Source organism: Homo sapiens, chromosome 1 (assembly GCF_000001405.40).
Source record: "Homo sapiens chromosome 1, GRCh38.p14 Primary Assembly".
Lineage (NCBI taxonomy): Eukaryota > Metazoa > Chordata > Mammalia > Primates > Hominidae > Homo > Homo sapiens.
This window is the reverse complement of record NC_000001.11, coordinates 88,765,026-88,777,436: the sequence shown is the minus strand read 5'-3', so window position 1 is coordinate 88,777,436 and position 12,411 is coordinate 88,765,026. Positions and strand designations below refer to the sequence as shown.

Below are 12,411 nucleotides of genomic sequence, written 5' to 3'. Positions count from 1 at the left end.
ACGGTCAGTTCACAGAAAAAAGAAATTAACAGAAACTGACCCTGGGGAAGTCAAGACATGTTGGACTTACTAAATTAAGATGCTCAAAAATCTAAAAGAAACCATGGACAAATATCTAGGGGAAACAAGAAAAGTGATGTGTCTACAAATAGAGAACATCAATATGGATTTAAAAATTATAAAAAAGAACCAAACAGAAATTCTGGAATTGAAAAGTATAACAAAAATGAAAAAATTTGCTAGAGAGGTTCAATACAAGATTTGAGCAGGCAGAAGAAAAAGTGAGCCAATTTGAAGGTAGATCAATTGCACTTGTCTAGTCTTAAGAGCAGAAAGAAAAAATAATGAAGAAAATCAGAGTCTAAGAGAAATACCATAAAGCACACCAATGTAGGCAAAAATCAAAGTCTCAGAGGGAGAAGAAAGAACATTTGAAGAAATGATTGGAAACTTCCCAAATCTGATGAAAGACAAGAACCTACACATCAAGCTCAAAGAATCTAAGTAGAATAAATTCAAAAAGATCCACTCTAAGACACATTATAATTAAACTGTGAAAAAACAAAGAAAAGCTTGAAAGCAACAAGACAAAAATAATTCATCACTTACAAGGGATCCTCAGTAACATTAACAGTGGATTTCTCATCACAAAACATAAAGGCCTGGAGGAAGCAGGAGGACTTTTTTTTTTTTTCTTAAGACAGAGTCTTACTCTGTCACCCAGGCTGGAGTGCAGTGGCATGATCTTGGCTCACTGCAACCTCCGCCTCCCGCGTTCAAACGATTCTCCTGCCCCAGCCTCCTGAGTTACTGGGATTACAGGCATGCGCCATCATGCCTGGCTAATTTCTGTATTCTTAGTATAGATGGGGTTTCACCATGCTGGCCAGGCTGGTCTCAAACTCCTGACCTCAAGTGATCCACCCGTCTCGGCCTCCTTAAGTGCTGGGATTATAGGTGTGAGCCACTGTGCCTAGTTGGACATTTTTTTAAGTGCTGGAAAAAAACAAAATTGCCAGCCAAGAATTCTATATATATACCAAACTATCATTCAAAAAAAGAAAAGAAAGAGATTCCTAGATAACAAAAGCTAAGGGAGGTAGACACTAGGAGACCCGCCCATAAGAAATGCTAAAGAAGCCTTTTAGATTGAAATGAAGGATGGGAGAAGTGACGGGTGGGGCGGGGTGGGGGCAGTGTCAGGGAGGGCAAGGGGGAGGGGGTAGGGGGAGGGGGAGGGAGGGAGAGAGAAAGGAAAAAAGGAAGACAAACGCAGGTAAAATTAACTACATAAGTAAATATAGAAGCCAGTATTTTTTTTTTTTTTTTGAGACGGAGTCTCGCTCTGTCACCCAGGCTGGAGTGCAGTGGCACGATCTCGGCTCGCTGCCAGCTCCGCCTCCCAGGTTCACGCCATTCTCCTGCCTCAGCCTCCTGAGTAGCTGGGACTACAGGGGCCTGCCACCACGCCCGGCTAATTTTTTTTTGTATTTTTAGTAGAGATGAGGTTTCACCATGTTAGCCAGGATGGTCTCGATCTTCTGACCTCGTGATCCACCCGCCTCGGCCTCCCAAAGTGCTGAGATTACAGGCGTGAGCCACTGCGCCTGGCCAGAAGCCAATATTTCTGTATTTTAAGTAACTCTTCTTTTTGTTTCCTTTATGATTTAAAAGACTAATGCATAAAACAATATTTATAGCCTATGTTAATGGGTATATGGTGCATAAAGAGAGTTTGTGACAATATAACAAGGGCACAGTCAAAGAGTTTTTTGTAGGCTACTAAAGATAAGATTATAATAAATTTAGGACATTAGTTATAATCATTGGGGTAATCACTAAGAAAATAATAAACCCGCACATGGATGTTTATAACAGCTTGATACATAACTGCCAAAACCTGGAAGCAACCAAGAAGTCCTTCGGTAAATGAATGAATAAATAAATTATGGTACATCCACACAATAGAGTATTATTCAGCACAAAACCAAAAATGAGCTATCAAAGCATGGAAAGACATAGAGGAAACTTAAATGCATATTACTAAGTGAAAGAAACCAATGTGAAAAGGCTACATACTGTTAAGATTCCAACTGTATGACCATTGTGGAAAAGGCAAAACTACGGAGGAAGTGAGGTGAGTGGTTGCGAGGAGTTCAAGATTTAGTGAAAGACCAGGCATAAGTAGCTCATGCCTGTAATCCTAGCACTTTGGGAGGCCAAGGTGGACAGATTGCTCGAGCCCAGGAGTTGAAGACCAGCCTGGGCAACACAGAGAAACCCCATCTCTACAAAAAAAATAAAATAAGCTGAGCGTGGTGGTGTGCACCTGTACTCCCAGCTACTAGGGAGGCTGAGGTGGGAGAATATATATATCTATCTATCTCATAAAAGGGAGCAAGAAGGGAATAAGAAAAGTAAGAATAGAGGCTGGGCATAGTGGCTCACGCCTATAATCCCAACACTTTGGAAGTCTGAGGTGGGAAGATGACTTGAGGCCGGGAGTTTGAGACAAGCCTGAGCAACACAGTGAGACGCCATTGCTAGCAAAAAACTAAAAATTAGCTAGGTGTGGTGGCACGTTCCCGTACTCCTAGCTACTCAGGAGGTTGAGGCAGGAGGATTGCTTGAGCCCAGATGTTTGAGGTTACAGTGAGCTATGATCATACCACTGTACTCCAGCCTGGGCAACAAAGAGAGATCCTGTCTCAAAAATAAGTAAATAAAAACAGAGTAGAAAAATTCAATCAAAACCAAAAGAAGGTAGTACTAGAACTCAGAGAAAAAAAGATAAACACTTGCATAAAAAAAAAAACCCGCAAAATGACAGAAATAAGCCCTTTTGTTGTATATAATTTGGCTGGTTTTTGTCCCTGGTTTCTGGAAGACAGCCTCTAAGTCTAAACCTTTGGAATTTCCCCCAGTGATAGGCGTGCCTTTGTTATTCATAGTGGATACCTTAGACCACACCTGGTAAGGTGACTCATGGTGGGCCTCTAGACAGTTTCAGGATGGGGGCTGGCCATGCCAGAAAGAATGATCATATCTTCAGGAGGTTGAGGCTTTGAGCCACATTATCAGTCTGACCTCCTGACCTAGGGAGGGGCACAAGGCTGGAGATTGAATTCAATCATGTGGCCAATGATTCACTCAATCACACCTATGTTAACAAAGCCCCAATGAAAATTCTGCACACCCAATGCTCAAGTGAACTTCCTGGTTGGTGACAGACATTGATGTGTTAGGAGGGTGATATATCCTAAGGACACATAAGGTTTGTGTTTGAGATCCTCTCAGATCTCCCCCTTTATGTTTATTTTCTTTTCGCTGCAGTGAGCCATGAAGGTCCTAATTTGTATCCTTTATAATAAAAACGTAATCCTAAGTATAGTGCTTCCCTGAGTTCTATGATTTGTTCCTGCAAATTACTGAGCTGAGATGCTAGTAGAAATCCTGGAATCTGTAGACAGTTGGTCAGGAGTGCATGTAGCCTTGGAAACTCTAAATTTGCTGCTTGCTTATGAAGTGATGGCAGTTTTGTGGGGGGACTGTGCTACAAACCTATTAAATTTAACCTACCTCTCAGTAGTTACCACCAGGATTATTACATCCTGTCTGTAATTACTTTAAATGTTTCTCTCTCTTTCTTTCTTTCTTAGAGGCGGAGTCTTGCTGTGTCACCCAGGCTGGAGTGCAGTGGTGGAATCATGACTCACTGTAGCCTCAAACTCCTGGGCTCATGCAATTCTCCTGCCTCTGCCTCCCAAGTAGCTGGGACTACAGGTGCATGCAACCTCATCTGGATAACTGTCTTAAACTATTAAATAAACAGCAAACACTGGTCAGATGTGGAGGCACACACCAGTAATCACAGCACTCTGGGAGCCCAAGGCAGGCAGATCACTTGAGGCCAGGAGTTTGAAACCAGTGTGGCCATCATGGTAAAACCCTGTCTCTACTAAAAATACAGAAATTAGCCAGGTGCAGTGGCACATGCAGATCACTTGAGGCCAGGAGTTTGACACCAGTATGGCCATCATGGTGAAACCCTGTCTCTACTAAAGATACAAAAACTAGCCAGGTGCAGTAGCACATGCCTGTAATCCCAGCTACTCGGGAGGCTGAGGCACAAGAATTGCTTGAACCTGGGAGTGGGAGGCTGCAATGAGAGTGAGACTCTGTCTCAATAAAAATGAATTAAAAAAAAAAAAGACTGACAGAATGGATCTTATAAAACAGAATACAATAATATATAATCTAAAAGAGACTCATTTGAACCCAAAGACAAAACCAAAACAAAGTAGGGGTAGCTGTTATAAAATCAGACAAAACAGATTTTAAATTAAATATTGTTATAGGAGACAAAGAAGGACATTATAAAGGAGTTAAGGTAAAGGTAAAGGAGTCAATCCGTCTAGAAGATATAAAAATTGTAAACATACATGAACCTAGCAAAACAGCCCACAATATAGGAAACAAAAATTTACATAACTGAAGGGAGAAATACAGACAGTTCTACAGACATAGTTAGATATATTACCATACTTCCAATAATGGACCTATTAGAACACGATCAAAGAAGAATGAAAAAAAATATTAACTGTTGGTGAGGATCTGGAGATACTGAAACCCACTTTATACATTACTGTTAGAAGTATAAAATAATGTAAATGCTGAGAAGAACAGTTTGACAGTTCCTCAAAATCTTAGATATAGCTACCATATGACCTAGCAATTATATTCCTAGGAATATACCCCCAAATTGAAAACAGATGTTCAAGCAAAAACCTGCACGTAAATGTTCATAGCAGTCTACTCACAACAGTCAAAAGGTAAAAAGAACTCATATGCTCTGACAAATAGGTCAATCAAATATAGTATAGGTTGAGTATTCCTTATCTGAAATCCTTGGGACCAGAAGTATCTCAGATTTTGGAATGTTTATATTATATTATACTTACTGGTTAAGCATCCCTAATCTGGAAATCTGAAATCCCAAATCCAAAATGCTCCAATGAGAATTTCCTTTGAGCATCATGTTGGGTGCACAAAAAGTTTTGAATTTTAGAATATTCCCACAAGTGGAATACTATTCAGACATTAAAAGTGAGTGAAGTACTCATACATACTACAACATGAATGAACCTTGACAACAATATGCTAAGTAAAAGAAGCCAGGCAAAAAAGGTCACAAATTATATAATTTCTATCATATGACAAATCTAGAATAGACAAATCTGTAGAGACAGACAATTAGTAGTTGCTAGCAGCTGGGAGGAAGGGGGAATGGGGAGTGACTGCTTAACAGGTATGCGTTTCCTTTTGGGGTGATGAAAATGCTTTGAAACTAGGTAGTGGTGATGGTCACACAATATTGTGAATATAGCAAATGCTTCCAAATTGAATAAAATTAAAATGGTTAATACAACAAATTTTATTCTATGTGTATCTTATCATAATTTTAAAAATCTATGCACAGGTTTTTCTTTCAATTATTAAATCAGAACCAGTTATAGACAAAAATACACACAAAAAACAATGGCTATACACTACATACCTGTTAGTGCTGCTGGTTTGGATAGTGTACTATATTGATTTTGCGTAGATATCATACTTTGACGTGGACTTAGTGTTGGTGATGCAGCAACAAGTGAAAGTTCTTCAATAATAATCCTGCTTTTGGGATGATTCTTGGGGACTTCGTTTAATCTTTGCTCTAATGAATACTTTAAAAGGTCCAACTTCTGACTTGATTCATTAAATCTTGCTTGAGCCTTGCACAGGGAAAAGACAATTGTTGTCATTTAAATAATCACATACTTTGAATAATGTATTTATTAAACCAAATAAAAATTTTTATTTAAAATTACTTCTGAAAGTGCTTTTCTGTCTGTTACTTTTCCTGAGCCAAGTAATTTCATTACATTCTTTGCACCTTCTGCTACTGCAAACTCTATCCTAAAATGATGCCTTAATTCTTCCATCCGAAGTTCAAGAGGACTTATCACAGGTTTTGCTAGAAAGGAAAAAAAAATTTTAATTGCACCATTTATCTGACTTTCCAATTTGCAGTGATTAAAATCATGAAAAGAAATGAATTCCTATAACATTACAATAACTTAGTCCTTACATCAATAAACACTGAAATAAAAATATTTGATATGATATTGAAATTCAGAGCCTTTCATTTTTGTCATTACACATCTAAATTACAAATCTGAAAAAAAGATTTTAGAGCTGAAAGATATCCAAATATTGTAACATGGGGAGACCGAAAGTTTCTACTCCTACTCTTAGCAACTAGCTTTAAAGATTTCTTCTGGAATTAAAAAATAAATAAAACAAAACAAAAAAACAAAAGAAAACAAAGCCATACTCTTAAACAGGTAACAGATTTTTTTTTAAATGAAGACTGATTGTAAGTACTTGATAATCTATTTAAATGAAGAGATACATTCTAGATCAATATCTTCTTGAAACATAAGGGCCAAATATCTAAAAGCATCTATCCAAGTGAAGAGTCTAAAACTCAAGATTAAAAAAAAAAAAAAGGGCCGGGCGCGGTGGCTCACGCCTGTAATCCCAGCACTTTGGGGGGCCGAGGCGGGCGGATCACGAGGTCAGGAGATCGAGACCATCCCGGCTAAAACGGTGAAACCCCGTCTCTACTAAAAATACAAAAAATTAGCCGGGCGTAGTGGCGGACGCCTGTAGTCCCAGCTACTTGGGAGGCTGAGGCAGGAGAATGGCGTGAACCCGGGAGGCGGAGCTTGCAGTGAGCCGAGATCCCGCCACTGCACTCCAGCCTGGGCGACAGAGCGAGACTCCGTCTCAAAAAAAAAAAGAAAAAAAAAAAAAAGTAATAGTAATGCTTCCTCCCTCTTAACTTTGAACCACTGCCCTGTTCCTGCATAAGATTATTTAGCACCATTATGCTCATAAGAAGGAGGACAATTTATTCCATCACCATTATCAAAAGCCAATTCATTAGTCTGGACTGCCTGAAGAATCTGCATTCGTATGACTTCTATTTTTGTCTTGCTGTCCTGGAGCAGTTGCTGAGCTGTACCATGGAGTTTCCGATCCTATTAAAAAAATAAGTTTGAAAAATTAAGCAAATAAAGGGAAAAATGAAACATTTTCCTATCTTCTAAACAGATCAAGTGATATATCAGCAAGTGAAAAACAGAGTTAAAAGAATGCTGTTGGCGCTATAGTATATCTTATAGATACATTTACTAAAAAAGAGCCATCAAACTTACAGGGTGATAATTGTGAAAAACAACTCCATTAGTTAAGACAATTTGGGAGAAAAGGAAATCTTATTATGGCTGTGTATTTTTAAAATTTATTTTTTATTGTATATACTTGCAGTGTACATGATGTTTTGGTATGCATACATATAGTGAAATGATTATTACAGGCAAACAAATTTACTGACCCATCACCTTCTACAGTTACCCCTTTTCATGTGTATGTTTATGTGTACCTAAAATTTACTCTCTTAGCATATTTTCAGTATATAATATTAACTATAGTTCACGCTATGTATTAGACCTCTGGACTTATTCATCCTACCTAACTCTAAGTATGTACCTTTTGACCAACTTCTCCCCATTTCTTCTTCCTCCCTATTGCTGGTAACTGTATTCTACTCTCTGTTTCTATTTATTCAGCTTTTTTTGGATTCCACAGGTAAGTGAGATCATACAGTATTTTTCTTCCTGTGTCTGGCTTATTTCACTTTGCATAATGTCCTCTGGGCTCACCCATGTTGTCATATATGGCAGTATTCCCTTTTTTAAGGCTGAACAATATTTCATTGTGTATATACATATATATATACATCGCACAATCCATTTATCTGCTAACAGATACTGTAGGTTTGAATCTTATTACTATCTTTTAGAAAATCAAAATCCAAATTCACATTTGTAATTTTCTTATTTTTGCTTTACACAAAACATAAAGAATTTTCCTTTACTATGATCAATAACTCTAAGACTCAGAAACATAGTATGAAATAAATGCCTCCATGATTAAACCTAAACTAAAAACCTAATCACAGATAGCAATTGTGTTCCAATTAATTATGCTAAGAAAGGTAGAAAACAGCATTTGTCAACCCTGGTGACAATGAGAAAGGTCCCTAGAAACACTTTAATGTCAAAAAATGAGACCTTCTTAATAAAGCTGGAGAACACTTCTGTTATATCTTAAGATTTCAAAAAAAAGCTCTGAATTAAGTGAAATAATGTTAATGCCTGATATGGTTTGGATGTTTGTCCCTCTAAATCTCATTTTGAAATGTAATTCCTCAGTGTCTGAAGCGAGGCCTACTGGAAGGTATTTAGGTCACGGGGACAGATCCCTCATGAATTGTTTGGTGCCACCCTCACAGTATGAGTAAGTTCTCATTCTATGAGTTCACGCTGGTTGTTGAGCTGTTTGTTCAAAAGAGCCTGGCACTTCCTCCTCTCTCTCTTGCTCCCTCTCACCAGATGACAAGCTGGCTGCCGTTCATCTTCCATCACGACTGTAAGCTTCCTGAGGCCCTCAACAGAAGCACATGCCAGCACCATCCTTCTTGTACAGTCTGCAGTACTGTGAGCCAAAAATAAACCTTTTTCTTTATAAATTACTCAGCCTCAGATATTCCTTTACAGCAACACAAATGAATCAATGCAAGAGCATACCTCTGCTTAGTTCCAGTAACACTGAATGTGAGTGACAGAAGGAATTATATGCCAAATAATGACCTACTCGAAGATGTCAATGTCTTAAGCCTCAGAATCTTGTTGGTAAGTTACGTTACATGGCAAGGGAGATTTAAGGTAGCAAATGGAATTAAGGTTGTTAATCATTTGACCTTAAAATACAGAGATTGTCCTTGATTTCCAGATAGGCCCAATGTAATCACAAGGGTCCTTAAGTGTAGAAAAGAGAGGAAGAAGAGGTCAGAGTGATGGGATGTGAGAAAAACTGGACCTGCTATTGCTAGCTTAGAAGACAAAGGAAGAGAGTCAGGAGCCAAGAAGTGTGAGTAGCCTCCAGCAGCTGGAAAAAACAGGGAAACATTCTGCCCTACATCCTCCAGAAGGGAATGCAGTCCTGCCAACACCTTGATTTAAGCTAAGATTCACTTCAGACAAAATAACTACAAAATTATAATAAATTTCTGTTGTTTTATGCCACTAAATTTGTGATAATTTGTTACAGCAACTGTAGAAAACTAAGAAATTTTAAAAAGAAATATCAGAAGTTAATGCCATTTCCTGTTTTTAGAGTTGCATTAATTGTTAAAGACTGGTATCCATCCATACATACACACACAAATTGATTAAGCATCAAGTTAGAAAGCACTTATTCATAAGAAAGGAGAAGCTTTGCATATTATTTAAGCATCTCTATTTTTAATCACTAAGGCAATCAGTACTAATTTGGATAAAATAGCACACAATCAACCTGTATTCTCCTGGAGATTCATGTCTCTTAGAACCCAAGAGACACGCTTGATGACGGCAGTATTATTTCAATAAATCAAACACACACTATATGACACTGAATAAAGAAGAAAGAGATTGGAGATAAGGGGAATAAAAGTGAGCTGAAATATACCCTGCTGAATACCAAACTCAGGTTAATATACCATGGAGGAAAAAATAATTGCATATTTATGAAATTTATAAATTTTTCTTTTATTTCTTTTGTATTCCCAAAGTCAGTCATTTAGCAAATAGCTTCTGGCCAGACTGCTGCATAATGACATTTAGGTCAACAACGGACTACATATACCTATGTTTAGATATATTTAGATATGCAAGTACTTACCATTGTGTTACAATTGCCTACAGTATTCAGTATAGTTACATGCTGTTACTACAGCCTAGGTGCAATAGGCTATACCATGTAGCCTAGTACCATCTAGGTTTGTGTAAGTACACTCTATGATACCCGCACAATGATGAAATCACCCACTGATGATTTTTTCAGAATGTATCCCTGTTGTAATGCAAGGCATGAATGAATTTCTTTGAGATCAGACTAGAGTAAAAGTATTCCAAAGCTCATAATTTAATGGGACAAATGTATTTTGCAGTCAGATTTGAGCCCAAATCTTATTATATATAAACTTGGACAATTTACCTATTTTCTGAAAACCTTAGGTTTCTTGCATAAACTATGTAAATTGTGATACCATTCTCTTAAATATAAAACTTTTGTAAGCATTAAACTAAAATTATCTTGCCTAGCACATAATTGGCATTAAAATGTTCTCTTTTAGGACAATAAAAATAATGATTAAGTGTCTTATTCCAATGAAGTTCTAATGTAAATGTATAAATATTAAGTAAACCATATAATATTACTCTCTTCAATTAAGCTACTTCTTTTATTATTTTATTGTCATGCAAAATGAAGTAGTTCCATCATTTTACTTCTTTGGAAATACTCCTTTCTTCACTATTTCAATTCAACATGCAAGAAACAGCACTTGTATTTTATTTTAAAAATAGGTGAATTTTCCCACAGAAATTTCTGGAGGATCTGCAGGATGTCAAAGTATGATGAAACTTTTAAAATGGATTTTGGATATTATCTATCACAGGCAATATACAGTTATTACATATCAGTTTTATGTTTTCAGGCATTCAATGGAATTTTTATTAAGCACATAATATGTACAAGGGAAGAGATAAGGCTGGAGTACACGGACTGGTTTACATATTGGAGAAATCTGACTTTTATGTTAATACAAATTTTGGGAAAGTTTTTACATACCTTAGGTAGAACTACATGAAAATGCCAGTGTCTGATTTTGAACTAAAAAAACAGCAATTTTATATGGCTCAACCTAACACACTAAAGTAATGAACTATTAGTAATTGGCACTCTATAATGCTGGTAATTGTATTTGGAATAAATATTTTACAATTATAAGAATAACTAAAAAATTATACGACTTTCAAATTATGTTTTTTATTTTACAAAAAAATAACACTGTTTTGCAAGCTATAGTGGGACATTACAACACATTACATCACACAGAAAACTTTCAAATAAGCCAATCATTGTTCTTATTAGTACCATCTAGGTAATAAATAGGCCAGTCATTCTTATTTTTTTCATCATGTATTTATGTTAAAGTAACATATAGGAAGTAAGCCATAAATTACATGCCAGACCCAGTGAAAACACAAATATTAATCAATCAGAATGTTATCCTATGAAGCTTATAATTTGCTAGAAGACATATAGATGATTATTATATGCACTAGGAAGTTAAAAGTAGCTGAAGAAAATTCCAAAGAAATGTGGAATCAGGCCAGGGATGGTGGCTCATGCCTGTAATCCCAGCACTTTGGGAGGCCAAGGCTGGGGGATCATCTAAGGTCAGGAGTTCGAGACCAGCCCAGCCAACACGGTGAAACCCTGCCTCTACCAAAAATACAAAAAATTACCCAGGCATGGTGGTGCCCACCTGTAATCCCAGCTACTCAGGAGGCTGAGGCACGAGAATCACTTGAACCTGGGAGGTGGAGGCTGCAGTGAGTGAGCCAAGATTACACCACTGCACTCCAGCCTGGGTGACAACCTGGGCGACAGAGTGAGACCCTGTCTCCAAAAACAAACAAACAAAAAAGTGGAATCAATTTTAGTTAAGGGAATCCAGAAAGGTTTCCCGAGTCATTATAATAAATAAGTCTGGAATATGTCAAGACTGGAGAATTTCTCATGTTAAGTGCTTTTATAACGACGACGACGACAACAACAACAACAACACCACTTCCACTACAACAACAACTTAACCACTTCCACTAAAGAACTCAAGGGTACTTTTGGAAGTAACTTGATTGTCGTGGTGGTATCACACATGCATACATATGTATAGAAACATACAAATTAATTGAAATGTATAACTAAATATGTGCAACTTTTTTCTATATCAATTAGATCTCAAAGCTTAAACAGGCAATACTGGAGGATTGGCGGTTGGAGGGACCTGGATGGACAGTCTGGTATATCCATATGTGGAGGCTTGGGAAACACTTAAAACCGATGCAAGATGCTAGTAAGAACCCCAAATTTTAATTAATACCTTGGTTTACTGCCTGAATATATAAACAGGAGACATGTCTTTTTTTTTTTTTTTGAGATGAAGTCTCAAAAACTCCTGGGTTCAAGTGATTCTATAAACAGGAGACAAGGCTGGGCACGGTAGCTCACGCCTGTAATCCTAGCACTTTGGGAGGGCCAGGCGGGCGGATCACTTGAGGTCAGGAGCTCAAGACCAGCCTGGCCAACATGGCGAAACCCCATCTCTACTAGCAATACAAAAAAAGTAGCCAGGCATAGTGGTGTGCACCTTTAATTCCAGCTACACAGGAGGCAGGCTGAGGCAGAAGAATC

The 12,411-nt window shown here is 37.6% G+C and overlaps 1 protein-coding gene across 6 annotated transcripts in view, besides 5 other annotated features; it reads right to left on the bottom strand.

Annotated features, from left to right (window-relative positions):
- Positions 1-12,411, bottom strand: part of PKN2 (protein kinase N2) — a 151,983-nt gene that overhangs the window by 58,819 nt on the left and 80,753 nt on the right. For all 6 annotated transcript variants that reach the window (XM_047425224.1, NM_006256.4, NM_001320707.2 and 3 more), the window contains 3 exons: positions 6,968-7,085; positions 5,871-6,016; positions 5,558-5,774 (listed from right to left, as the gene is read on the bottom strand). In XM_047425224.1, the coding sequence (XP_047281180.1) occupies positions 5,558-5,774; positions 5,871-6,016; positions 6,968-7,085 (481 nt within the window). The remainder of the gene's footprint in view (positions 1-5,557; positions 5,775-5,870; positions 6,017-6,967; positions 7,086-12,411) is intronic.
- Positions 2,178-3,377: an enhancer, noted in NCBI's record as "MED14-independent group 3 enhancer chr1:89239743-89240942 (GRCh37/hg19 assembly coordinates)". NCBI's record gives its function as "activates an origin of replication core promoter dependent on BRD2, BRD4, P300/CBP and CDK7 cofactors, and independent of MED14, by STARR-seq in HCT116 cells {active_cell/tissue: HCT116}" and the evidence as "EXISTENCE:reporter gene assay evidence [ECO:0000049][PMID:35650434]".
- Positions 2,178-3,455: a biological region, named in NCBI's record as "MED14-independent group 3 enhancer GRCh37_chr1:89239743-89240942".
- Positions 2,262-2,857: an enhancer, noted in NCBI's record as "OCT4-NANOG-H3K27ac-H3K4me1 hESC enhancer chr1:89240263-89240858 (GRCh37/hg19 assembly coordinates)". NCBI's record gives its function as "activates a minimal SCP1, AML or CMV promoter by ChIP-STARR-seq in primed H9 embryonic stem cells {active_cell/tissue: H9 hESC(primed)}" and the evidence as "EXISTENCE:reporter gene assay evidence [ECO:0000049][PMID:30033119]".
- Positions 2,858-3,455: an enhancer, noted in NCBI's record as "OCT4-NANOG-H3K27ac-H3K4me1 hESC enhancer chr1:89239665-89240262 (GRCh37/hg19 assembly coordinates)". NCBI's record gives its function as "activates a minimal SCP1, AML or CMV promoter by ChIP-STARR-seq in primed H9 embryonic stem cells {active_cell/tissue: H9 hESC(primed)}" and the evidence as "EXISTENCE:reporter gene assay evidence [ECO:0000049][PMID:30033119]".
- Positions 3,597-3,891: an enhancer, noted in NCBI's record as "tiled region #874; K562 Activating DNase unmatched - State 15:Elon". NCBI's record gives its function as "activates a minimal TATA promoter and a strong SV40 promoter by Sharpr-MPRA in K562 cells {active_cell/tissue: K562}" and the evidence as "EXISTENCE:reporter gene assay evidence [ECO:0000049][PMID:27701403]".